The sequence below is a fragment of the Homo sapiens genome, chromosome 11 (genome assembly GCF_000001405.40).
Source record: "Homo sapiens chromosome 11, GRCh38.p14 Primary Assembly".
Classification (NCBI taxonomy): domain Eukaryota; kingdom Metazoa; phylum Chordata; class Mammalia; order Primates; family Hominidae; genus Homo; species Homo sapiens.
The window spans coordinates 10,682,886-10,694,791 of NC_000011.10; the positions used below are offsets into that span (position 1 = coordinate 10,682,886).

Here is an 11,906-nt window from a genome sequence, read left to right on the forward strand (position 1 = left end):
GACCCTGATCCAAGCTGGACTTATCAGATTATTTCTTTCAAGAACTTAGAGACCAGGAGCTTCTGGAACCTAGTCATACTGGGCCTGTGGCCTGGGCAGTGATCTTCAGAGTAGAGTATGTCATCCAGGGAATGCAGGATGACTTGGTGGAGTATAGGAAGGAAATTTAAAATAAAAACCTTCAATTTTTAATTAAAAATAGTAACAAAGTACACTTCCTTAATATTTAATAAACAGATTGGCAGTGGTGCTGGTTCATGTATTGAAAGGCCAGTTATATCCAGTTTGTGAGCTGTTGTATGGGGAATTCTACAGTGTTACGGAACTGATGTAGCACCCTCATGTATCCATTTGTTTTTCCTGAAGGGTGACACAGTTTGTGTGTGCCCAAGTAAGTAGGTTAATAAAACATATTTATCTAGTTTTAACCAAACCTACTATCATAAAATGTGTATGCGGCTTAAAAGGTTTGTGCCAAAAAAAAAAAAAAAGTACAATGAAAATACTTCTACTAATAAAGCTAACAGTAATTCTCAAAAAAAAATTTTACAAAGTAGTGGATAAAACTGAAAATTTAATATAATAATTCAGGAAGTAAGGATGTCCCTCTTCCACATGAGGTATCTGAGCTGGTTTTCCTCTGCCCTCCTTCCCTTTCTCCCTGCCCTGCCCCCTGGTTCTCTGCTGTGTGCTTCAGGATGACACCTATGGAATGTATAACTTGGGCTCCTTTGCTTGCAGGCTGAGTTTGGCCAAGGGACCAGTAGGGGATGGGAGGAGAGAGAGGCCTGGGCCTTTCCTCCCTTGCTCCAGCACCACATCTCTGGCAGTGACTGTGACTCTCCTTAGCTACAGCTCATTCTGGATGGAACCTCTTCCCTGGCTCCAGAGCTCACTAGCTTCTGGTAATACGATTTTCTTCTCTTTCCCCTTGAAGAAGCACATAGAATCATGACCAAAGAATACTTATTTAGGGAAAGCAGGAAAATTGTTGACACTTTAAAAAAAAAAAAAAAAGCATGATTTTCAAAATATTATTTCATCTTTCTTGTTCTTTAAAAATTTCTATTTTTATGTTTTATAAAGTAACGCATTAGTACAATAGCTCATGAATATGATTTATAATAAAGAAATATACATAAATTGGAGGTGCATGCTAAAAAAATTTTCTCTAAACTAATAAGATGCAACATCCAAAAAACTTGAAGACCTCTCCTGTAGAGAAAAGGCTGGCAAACTATAAATCATGCTGCTATAAAGACACATGCATACGTATGTTTATTGCGGCACTATTCACAATAGCAAAGACTTGGAATCAACCCAAATGTCCAACAATGATAGACTGGATTAAGAAAATGTGGCACATATACACCATGGAATACTATGCAGCCTTAAAAAATGATGAGTTCATGTCCTTTGTAGGGACATGGATGAAACTGGAAATCATCATTCTCAGTAAACTATTGCAAGGACAAAAAACCAAACACTGCATCTTCTCACTCATAGATGGGAATTGAACAATGAGAACACATGGACACAGGAAGGGGAACATCACACTCTGGGGACTGTTGTGGGGTGGGGAGAGCGGGGAGGGAGAGCATTAGGAGATATACCTAATGCTAAATGACGAGTTAATGGGTGCAGCACACCAGCATGGCACATGTATACATATGTAACTAACCTGCATATTGTACACATGTACCCTAAAACTTAAAGTATAATAATAATAATAATAATAATAATAATAATAATAATAATAATAAAGAGAAAAGGCTGGCAAGTTCCTGCTGCTGGGATCTGAAAGCTGCCCTGGGTCCTGCCTTCCTGAGGCATTGCTGGCTACCTACCTTTTCCTTTGATTTTCTCAAATACCTTATAATAAATCCTACTTTCTCTTAAGTTAGCCAACATAGCCTTCTGAGATCTGGCAATCAAAGAACTTTAACCAATATATAGGTGGGATCTGCAATTTCTTGTGTGCTGGGACAGACTATGTGAATATCACATAATAACTACCATTTTATAGAGCATTTTTCTACAGCAAAGAGAAAGGCTTGTCCAAACTTCCCAGAGGAAAGAGGCCCTTCCTGAGCTCTGGAAGAGTCTCTCTGCTGTAGGCAGAGGTGGCTCATCAGGCCACATCATAGCTTAGGTGACCCACCCCTCAGAACTTTCTGCCTTCTTACCTAAATCTCTATCTATCAAGCATTTTGGTCATTGGAAAGGGTTTGTCTCCTATCATATACTGGCACATAGACATTCAGAATTGCATACTTGGCTGGGTGCAGTGGCTTACACCTGTAATCCCAGCACTTTGAAAGGAGGCTGAGGCAGGTGGATCACTTGAGGTTAGGAGTTCGAGACCAGAATGGCCAACATGGTGAAACCCTGTCTCTACTAAAAATGCAAAAAATTATCTGGGCATGGTGGCGCATGCCTGTAATCCCAGCTACTTGGGAGGCAGAGGTTGCAGTGAGCCGAGATCGCACCACTGTACTTCAGCGTGGGTGATGCAGCAAGATTCCGTTCCCAAAAAAAAAAAAAAAGAATTAAAAGAATTGTATACTTTAGTAATCTCAGTGCTTTAGCAGGCTGAGGCAAGAGTATCACTTGAGTCCAGGAGTTTGAGACCAGCATGGGCAACATAGCAAGACCCTGTCTCTAAAACAAAAAAACGTTTAAAACATTAGCCAGGTGAGGTAGTATATGCCTGTAGTCCTAGCTACTTGGGAGGCTGAGGTGGGAGGATCACTTGAGCCAGGGAGGTCAAGCCTGCAAGTCAGCTGTGACTATACCACTGCACTCCAGCCCAGGGGTCAGAGTGAGACCCTGCCTCTCTTGAAAAAAAAAAAAAAAAATTGTATACTTCAGTCTCTTGTGAGTTTGATTATTGTGAGTCAGTCTCTACATAAGCAATCAACTAATCAATTCCAGGTCACTAACCAGGCTTAGGGATAGGTCCAGGACTCTAGAACATCCCCAAGGTGATGCTCCTTGGGGAAGTCTCTTAGAAGCCAACTAGCCAGGTTTATCTTGACAACACCTAGCCTTATCATCATTGCCTTCCAAACTACAACGGGGACCAGTTAGATCTCAGGTGGGAAACAAGAAAGATGTCTTAGGTAAGAAGCCCAGGAAGACATTACATTCTTTCTACCATACCCATACAAGTCAAAAATATGACAAGAGAGTCCTTGGGGAAACCTGACCATTTGGGGGCATCCAAAATAGAGGACTCCCATGTGCTCAATATTAATCTGGGCTTCAATAATAATAATTACTTATTGGGTACTTATTCAGGTATAAGTACTTTAGATCTAGCAATCCATTTCATAGGTAAGGGGACTCAGAGGTTAGATCATTCGCCCACGTCAAACAGTAAGTTGTGGGGCTGGGATTTGAACAGACTGGGTGACCTCGGCAACATTTACAGACTTTTAGGGCACAAACTTTGGAGAGCCATAGAAAGTGACTCAAGACACACAATGTAGGACATGGCATTTCTTGCCAGTAAAAAGCTTGTGATTCTAAATTTGTATTTTTCCTTCTAAATAGAGGAAGGAACTTGTTCATAAACAAGACTAGGAGACCTGATAAAGATCATTACATACTGAAAGAAACCAAGAGAAGTGCAAAGTAGAGCAAGCCTAGTGGGGAAGCTGCTCCAGTGCCCTGCCCCGAGAGCTCAGGACCTCAGCTCTGAGCAGCAGCACTGGGACCTCCAGGGCTTTGTTCTTATAGGGGCAGGAACAAAGGGTCAGGCATTATCACTCTGTCCTGCAGCCAGGTCTATAGGCCACAGAGAGATGGAAAGAGATGGGGCTTGGTGGTCTGATGGTTTTGGTTTGACTCTCATTCTTCTCATACTAGTTACTATCCTCCTTGAATCAGTTTGTTCACAAATACCTCCCTTGCATGGCTAAAGTACAGATTTGATGAGATATTGTATAAAATGTGCCTGGCACATACAAACTTGCTCAAACAATGGTAGTTCCTTTCCCATATATTTTCTCATCTATCTGTAAGAAGTAACCCAGAAGAAAGGAGTTAAGAGATCACTTGCTCCCTGTCTGGAGTTGCCTAAATGAAACTTCTGTGAAAAAAGGAAAATTCATCGCCGCAGAAACTTCTAGTCAGATGCTTGCCTTGTCTAAGGAAGGACTCTGCATTAAACAAGTTCCCCACCAGGCATCTCTGGAGAAAAGATGAGGATTGATTAACTGGAAAAGGGAGGAGAGGGGGTGCCCATGGGACCATGTGGCAACCCCTGCAGCCTCGGCCCTGCCTGTCTCTCACTAGGGCAGGACACAAGTCTTGCCAGGTGCCCATGGGAGACCAGCCTTGCAAGTGGGCTTTAGCCAGGCCCTCATAGTGGTACCCCAGAGTGCCACGCTCTTCCACACCAAGAGAATGGCTATCTGATGGTGAGTTCTGAGAAGTACCTGCATGAATAGCTCAGCCCTCCCTCTTCTGTTTCTCTAGGGAATTAGCTGCTTTCAGGGGACACACATTCTGCTCTGTTTCTCCAAGCTTTAATATTTAAAGAGCCCTACTTTCCCCAGTGGGCACCCCCTAGGGCTGGGGGATAAATCTGCTCAATGCAATATTAGAAAACCTACTTGCCTGTTGATCCAAACACTTTCCAACACCAGCTTCATCAGTCATACGGGTGATATTAGTCTCTGAATTCCCAACAAGCCTTAAAGCTTCAGTGAAGGAAAGAGGTGTTATTTATTGGGCCTCCTTAAAGACTTCACCAGACACAGATGCCCAATCCTCTTGAGAGGAAGTCCACCACTCTCCTTGCGGTGTTTTTGGAGTTGAGAATAGGACCCAGGACTGTGGATGGTCAGAGCCTCAAACCCAGTGCAGAAGTCTTCTTGATGGAATCTCTGGAGGGGAACAGACAGGGGCTAGAAATAATAAGACCTAATGTATACCGAGTGCTAAGAATAGACAGTGGGCTAAGGGATTTAGCTTTGCTTTTTTTTGGGGGGGGGTGGTATTTAACTTTGTAAAATGGACACTATCATTACAGGTCGAGCATTCCAAATCTGAAAAATCTGAAATCTAAAATGCTCCAAAATGCAAGAATTTCTGGCCACTGGCAAGACACTCAAAGGAAATGCTCACTGGAGCATTTCAGATTTTGGATTTTTGGATTTGGGATGCTGAACTGGGTAAATATGATGCAAATATTCCAAAGGCCAAAAAAAAAAAAAGTGAAATCTGAAACACCTGTGGTCCCAAGCATTTTGGTAAGGGATACTGAACCCATATTACAGGAGAAGAAACTGAAGCGCCAACAGATTAGGTGCAGCTCAAGGGATACAGCTGGTCAGTGGTGGAGCCACACGGTCACTCCAGGGTCCACACTTTCCATAGGGACACTGTGCTGCCTCCATTACAAGATGTCATCTCCCCACTGTGATAATAAGGGAAGAGCTGGCCAACACTGAGCCCACCTCCTGACTCAGAGCCCGGGGTTATTTTCACCACACCTGTATGAGCAAAGTCAAGAATGTCTTCAGGCTTTCTTCTCCTCCTGATGAGCCAGGAAGCTTGGGCTCTCTGGAAACACCCTCTTGATTTGCTTATCAGCCACAGAACTCTCTGTGGCCTCTCTGTGTCCCTTCCCTGGTGGCCACTCTGGGAACCACATCCCACCCCTAGAGCCAGGCTGTGTGCAGTGTATAGTCTCATCCCTCTCAGCCTCTCTCATTGAGCCCATTGGTTCCTAAATTCCTGTTGGTTTTGCTGGGATGACTCAACTTCCCCAACACCCTGCACTCACCAATACCTGGATTCCACCAAGTTCATACAACCCGATTTCCACCAAGCCGTGGTGGAATGACCTGACTCATTTATACACTATGCTCACAATTTTTCCCATGCCTGTGTTTTACCTATGCCTTTATTTACTTAATATTCTTTCATTTGAGTAGCAATGGGCCAGAAAATCAAGACTGAAACCCCGGTTGGCCATTTACTAACTTTGTGTTGTTAGGCAAGTTTCTTGCCCTCTCTGTGCCCCAGTTTCCTGATCTGTATAAGGAGGACAATGACAGTAACTACTTCAGAGGGTTGCTGTGAGGACTGAATGAGCGACTGCAGGTAAAGCATTAGGACAGTGCCTAGCACACGGTACACACTCACCAAGTGTTAGCTACCATTGTCATTACTTTTATTTAAAAGGGAAACTTTATATTCCTACCTTAAATGGAAAAAGCAATACCACTTACCACAAATAGAGTTATAAAAATAAATAAAATGAAAACGGTTATTAAACCTTAGCTAAGGCCTGCTCTCATTTTTTTAAGAAGGGAAACAAACAGAAAGATGGTGAAGGCATATGAGGCTTAAATGAGGGTGACCAACCTTTTGAATTTGTCCAGGACCTGTCCCAATTTTAGCACTGGAAGTCCTGCAGCAATTCTCATTCCCGGCTGACCCTGGACAGTCGGTCAACCTACCTCAAATAGAGGCTTTCTCTCCTTCATTCAAAGGAATAAAAAGAACTTAAGAAGGAATAATGTTCTTACAATGTGATGTTGTGTGTTTAAGGCTGGGTCAGTATCCCACATACGATCATCTTGCAGAACAAGCTCACACCTTGGGCCACACCACACAAACCCACCTCTGAGAGCTGAGTCTCCAAATGCTATAAACCTATGGAAGAGCCATCATGTCACATGTGCCACTGAGAAAGTCCCCAAAGAAAAATCACATTTGTAAATGCCAAGAAGAGGAACAGTGATTAAATTGTTGCACGGCTAAAATGACTCTATGTTATAAAACCATTGAAAAATCATGTTTTGGAGAATCTTTAATGATATGGAAAAAGGATTATATTAGAATGCTCAGTTTTAAAAAGCAGACTAAAAAATAGCATATACACTAAGATCCTAGTTTTACAAAATATAGAGAAATGTAAAGGAAGAAACACACCATAATATAAACAATACTTATCACTGAGGAATGGTATTCTAGAGGGTTTTTTATTTCTTTATATTTATTTCTGAATTTCTTATTTATATCCACTTCTATATTTTCCAAGAAAGTCTAGCAAAGAACATGCATTACTTTTTTTTCTAGAAAAAACTGAATAGAAATTACAAATTACAAATAAAAAAGTAATAGGAAGAAAGTAACCAGAGCTGATTAAGCCCAGCCTTAGCAGACTTTTTTTACATGTCTTCTCCGCTAGGAAAAGTTTTCAGTCTGGCCGGGTGCGATGGCTCACGCCTATAATCCCAGACTTTGGGAGGCTGAGGTGGGCTGATCACTTGAGGTCAGGAGTTCGAGACCAGCCTGGGCAACATGACAAAACTCCATCTTTACTAAAAATGTAAAAATTAGCCAGGCATGGTGGTACTCACCTGTAATCCCAGCTACTTGGGAGGCTGAGGCATGAGAATTGCTTGAACCCGGGAGGTGGGGTTGCACCACTGCACTCCAGCCTGGGTGACAGTGCGAGACCCTGTCTAAAAAAAAAAAAAATGTTTCCTGTCCGACCAACTGTCCTCTGCTTTCCACCTCCCTTGGAGAAAGCCCTTGCAGAGAAGGCAGGGCTTGTCCAGGGTCATGGGCGTGAGTTACCTCTGCTAAGACTCTGAATTTGAAGGCCCATTTGTGAGGCTGCCCTGGACTGTCGCCTGAACTCAGAGTCTAGCCTCCAAGGTCCACAGGACTAACATGATATCCCCTTTCCCTCTATTCGTGATTTTCCTGTGATTTGGACTGTGACACTCAGTAACTGCCCCAGGACCTAAGTTACTAACTAGCGGCAGGGTGACATCTAATGCAGGAAGCGCCCGCTTTGGACCAAGGTGGCTTGAGCTGGAGTCCACCACCTACCAGCTGTATGCCTCTCTCCTCATCTCTAACATGAGGCTTAAATTAAATAACAGATCTAGCACAGATCCTGGCACAAAGTAGAAGCTCAATTAATACCAATTTTCTCCCGTTTCCTTTTACATTCACTACCTGAGAACTCAGCTCTCCATCTCCCTCCTCTGACTCAGCTCCCCAAGGGGCAGGGGCAGGGCCAGAGTCTGGGGGCCCCAAGCTCTCTTCTCCCTATCTACCCAGGCCTCTGCTTCTATTCAGTCAGCAAACAATCCCTCTGCTGACCAATAAGCCCCAGAGAGAGCGGCTGAGGGGCAGTCCAGGCTCTGTGAGGTGACCCAGGAGAGGAGGCAGGGTGAGAGAGGTGGGTAACTTCAGGCCCCCACCTTGTGTTCTTTAGGGTCAAACTAGATGAATCTGATCATCAGGCACATGTACAAAATCAACCCAGGGCCCTGTGTAACCAGAACCCACTTTATAAGCATTGTGTCCATTTATTCACAGAAACATGATTGAACCTGAGCACTTCGTGTGCTCCCGGCATTCTGGGTGCTAGACACACAACGGGTGAGGAACGGGATAAGGTCTCCGCCCTTGCAGGGCTCAGTCTGCTCCTCCAGGAGGTGTGGGGTGCTTCTGTCCACCTCTGTTACAAAGACTTAGAGGAGAAAGGCAGGGCTTTTTAGAAAGCTGAGGACCCATCACGTATAGTTCAGCCCATCAGTCAAGGAACCTAGCTTCCTCACACAGACCCACAGAACTCCTCATCCCCAAACCATGAGCCTCCTCAGCCTCCCAGGGATTCAGTTTCAAGTAGGTTTCACATGGCCCTAACTTCCTCACCCAAGATACTATTTAAATTCCCTGCTTTGTCACTTGGTGGCTGGGTGAGCTTGGACGAGTCATTTAACATCCCCTAGCCCCACTGTCCTCACCTGGAGCAGTAAGGTAAAGATACATCCCCCATGGCATTCTGTGAGGGGGCATGTGAAATCCCTCGTGGAAAGCCTCAGATGCACCATGTTGCAAGGGGGCCGGTGATTCCCCCGCTGCACTCTGACATGGGGTCCCAAGCAGACGGGAGCTGACCATGGAGGTCAAGAGCAGAGCCTCCAGAGACCATGGCCTGGGGCTGAGCATCAGCTGTGCAGTCTCTCTGTGCTAAAGTGTCCTCCTCTACAAGACCAGGGTGGAAAGAATGACCCCTGCTTTGTAGAGCTGTGGGAGTCATGAGTTACTGTATGGGAAGGGGAACAGTGTTCAATACATAGTAAGAACCATGTGTTTGCTGTTTATTTTCTTTCAGAAATATATTTATGGGGATAACCAATCATGTAGTAGCAGCTAGCACATGGTTATCCCTCCAAGATGATAAAGGATACAGGAATGCCTCCCTTACCTCCAAGCATAAAGATAGGTGCATCCGCTGTGAATATAAACAGCCACCCACCAAATATGCATGCACACACACACACATACACGCACTATGGAATCATGGACAGTACAAACATGATAATGACAACTGTTTTGTCCATTAGGTCAAAAATCGCAAGACACAATTGGAGGCAGCATCATACCCTGGCATTCACGTCTGTGTTGAGAGGCATGGGCACTGGAGTTAGAGTCATACAAACTCATACAGGGTTTGAGTCCTAGCTCCGCTCCATCTTGGTGGAACGACCTTAGGCAAGTCACTTAACCTGAGTTCCCTCCCCCATAGAACTGTTGGGGTAGGGGAGTGCAGGGGGATGGGCAACTCCACCTGCCTCACTAGCATGTCATCGTCCCTCGGTGGGGGCAATACAATCCTTGGCAGGTCCTGACTCCTTTGGACCCCCAGCCTCACAGTCCCAGGAAGCTTCCTCCTTTTCCCTGCAAAAGACTCTGCTCAGACCAGATTTACTTCCCTGTGCCACCCCAGTGAGCAGCCTGAAGAGTGTTCAGCAGCTGCCGAGCTCTGGGAGGCTGGAGTGCTGGCCAGGGGTCCCAGACCCCGGGCTGCTGTTTACTCAAACTGCAGAGCCTCTATAGCCTTTACAACTGTTTCCTGGGCAGGAGGGAGCAAGACAGCTGGGCCTCTCTCTGGCCTCTGGCTTCCACTGGCTTTTCCTTTGGAAAAAGCCAGTTCAAATGGTGCTCACTCTAGGAATCGCTTCAACTCGGAGCCCTGGAGGTGAGCAGGGCCGGGCACGGGCCGGGCACATACACCCCCTCTAGGGAGCAGGGAAGGGCACAGGCCAGGGGAAGCTGGAGACAAAAGAGGAGACAGGGACAGAGATAAAAACAGGGACTGTGACAAGAACACAGGATGGGAAGGGCAGAGACAGAAATAGAGGCAGGCTTAAGGATCTAGACAGGTCATGCCAGCCCAGGTTCAAGGCAGAGGGGCGTAGGGGGACAGAGAGAGAGACACAGGAAGCACAGAGGGGAGAAAGCTCTGCTTAGCAGACTTGCCAAAGCTGAAGACCCCACTGTTGCCACAAAGGGGCCCACAGGAAAGCTAGGGGTTGCAATCGCCTGTCAGGACCCACATTTTCACCCTGAGCTGTGCACACTTTCCAACGGCAAGCAAAAGGAGCACAATCTAGTTAAGTTAGGACTGGCAAGATTCACTTCTGATTTAAAACTTAAGACAGCAACAATAAAGATACTCAGCTGAAATGCCACCCAACAAAGCCAGCTCCCCTGGAAAGTTAAAGTTTAGCACCCCCATCCCAGCACCCTGTACCTTTAAGGAAGAGAAGGTTCCCTCCGCTTCCCAGCCGAAGAGGCAGGTTATTCTAGGATATAGGGGAGGCTTACCTAAAACTGAGTTATTCTCCTTTCCTCCTCTGGCCAGCCTCTCTTCACTCTGGGGAGCTTTTACCATTTAAGGTCAATGTTACATCTGGCTCCGGAGCTCAGAGCCGAGAAGCCTCTGGCTGCAGAACCTCGGCCGCACGCCTCCTCTGAGAGGGGCTGGGACTTAGAGCCGAGAGCTCCTCTGGGAGCCCCACTCCGGCCTGGCTCGGGGGATAATGGCAGGGAAAGCCGACCAGCTGGCCTCAGGGCTCAGGGCAGGCTGGGCCTTTGGGGCAGTCGCTCACCCTGGGCCCCTCCGATGGGTATCCACACAGCAGATGGCAGTCCCCATGGCAACTCGTGCCACTGGACACTGTCCTGGCCGGACGGGAACAAAGGGACCCTGCAGATCTCCCCACCCGCCTGGAGCCTCCAGCAAGCATGTGAGCCTGGAGAAGACCCTGGGCCAGCGCCAAGAGAAACTGGGAATGGTTCCTGTCCTGGGGATTCGGGGGCAGGGGCTGCTCCCACTGCGTTAAACTCTTGGGATTGCCAGAGAGAATGGCCTGGGAGATTCAGCTACTCCCAGACTTGGCACCAGCCCCAGGGATGTCAACCTTGCTCCTCCATTAAACAGCCTGTGGTCTTAACATCGTGGAGCCTCAGTCTCCTCATCTCTAAAGTGGAAATAATAATGATAATGCCCGACTCACTAGGTAGTCAGGGGATTAAATGAGATGTTAGTCAAGTGTTTAACACACTGCCAGCATCTCATAAGAGCTAGATCAGTATGAATGAGCTTCCTGCCCCTGCCCAGGAAATCCATACCCTGTCCATACACACTCTTCACCTGCCTTGGGTATAGGGCCTACCCAAGGCCAGGATCATGGAGCTCCAAGCTGGGGGCAAGCCACATGGGGACTTCAGCCCCTTCTGTGGTTAGAGCAGCACAGAGAAACCCTAGGTAAAGTTGCTAGATAAATTACAGGACACCCATTTAAATTTGGATTTCAGATAAACACAGGACATACTTGTATTAAAGACTGTTATTTATCTGAAATTCAAATTTAATTAGTCATCCTCTATTTTTGTTTGATAAATCCGGGAACCCTAGCTTTTGGCCATCATTAGCCACCCAGAAAACATTCAGTAGTCATGGTAGAGAGCACTAGGGATTGGAGCTCCCAGGCCTATGGCCTCAAGCTCTCCTGGCAAACACAGTCCTTATGCTCAGCTCCTGGCCACAGATCAGTTGTGCAGCAGTGGCAGATGCTCTC

The 11,906-nt window shown here is 46.1% G+C and overlaps 1 protein-coding gene across 5 annotated transcripts in view, besides 1 other annotated feature; it reads right to left on the reverse strand.

Annotated features, from left to right (window-relative positions):
- Window positions 1-10,870, reverse strand: part of IRAG1 (inositol 1,4,5-triphosphate receptor associated 1) — a 120,661-nt gene extending 109,791 nt beyond the window's left edge. For 3 of the 5 annotated variants that reach the window (NM_001206881.2, NM_001206880.2, NM_130385.4), the window contains exon 1: window positions 10,651-10,870. Coding sequence is in view for 2 of the 5 variants with exons in the window: in NM_001206880.2 (NP_001193809.1) it covers window positions 10,651-10,717 (67 nt within the window). In the remaining 3 variants the exon portion in view is untranslated. Of the gene's footprint in view, window positions 1-7,379; window positions 7,485-10,576 lie in introns of all 5 variants that reach the window. The other 2 variants (NM_001100163.3, NM_001100167.3) reach the window with 2 other exon arrangements.
- Window positions 5,527-5,576: an enhancer, noted in NCBI's record as "active region_4443". NCBI's record gives its function as "activates an Ori minimal core promoter by ATAC-STARR-seq in GM12878 lymphoblastoid cells {active_cell/tissue: GM12878}" and the evidence as "EXISTENCE:reporter gene assay evidence [ECO:0000049][PMID:35858748]".
- Window positions 10,871-11,906: the final 1,036 nt, after the last annotated feature.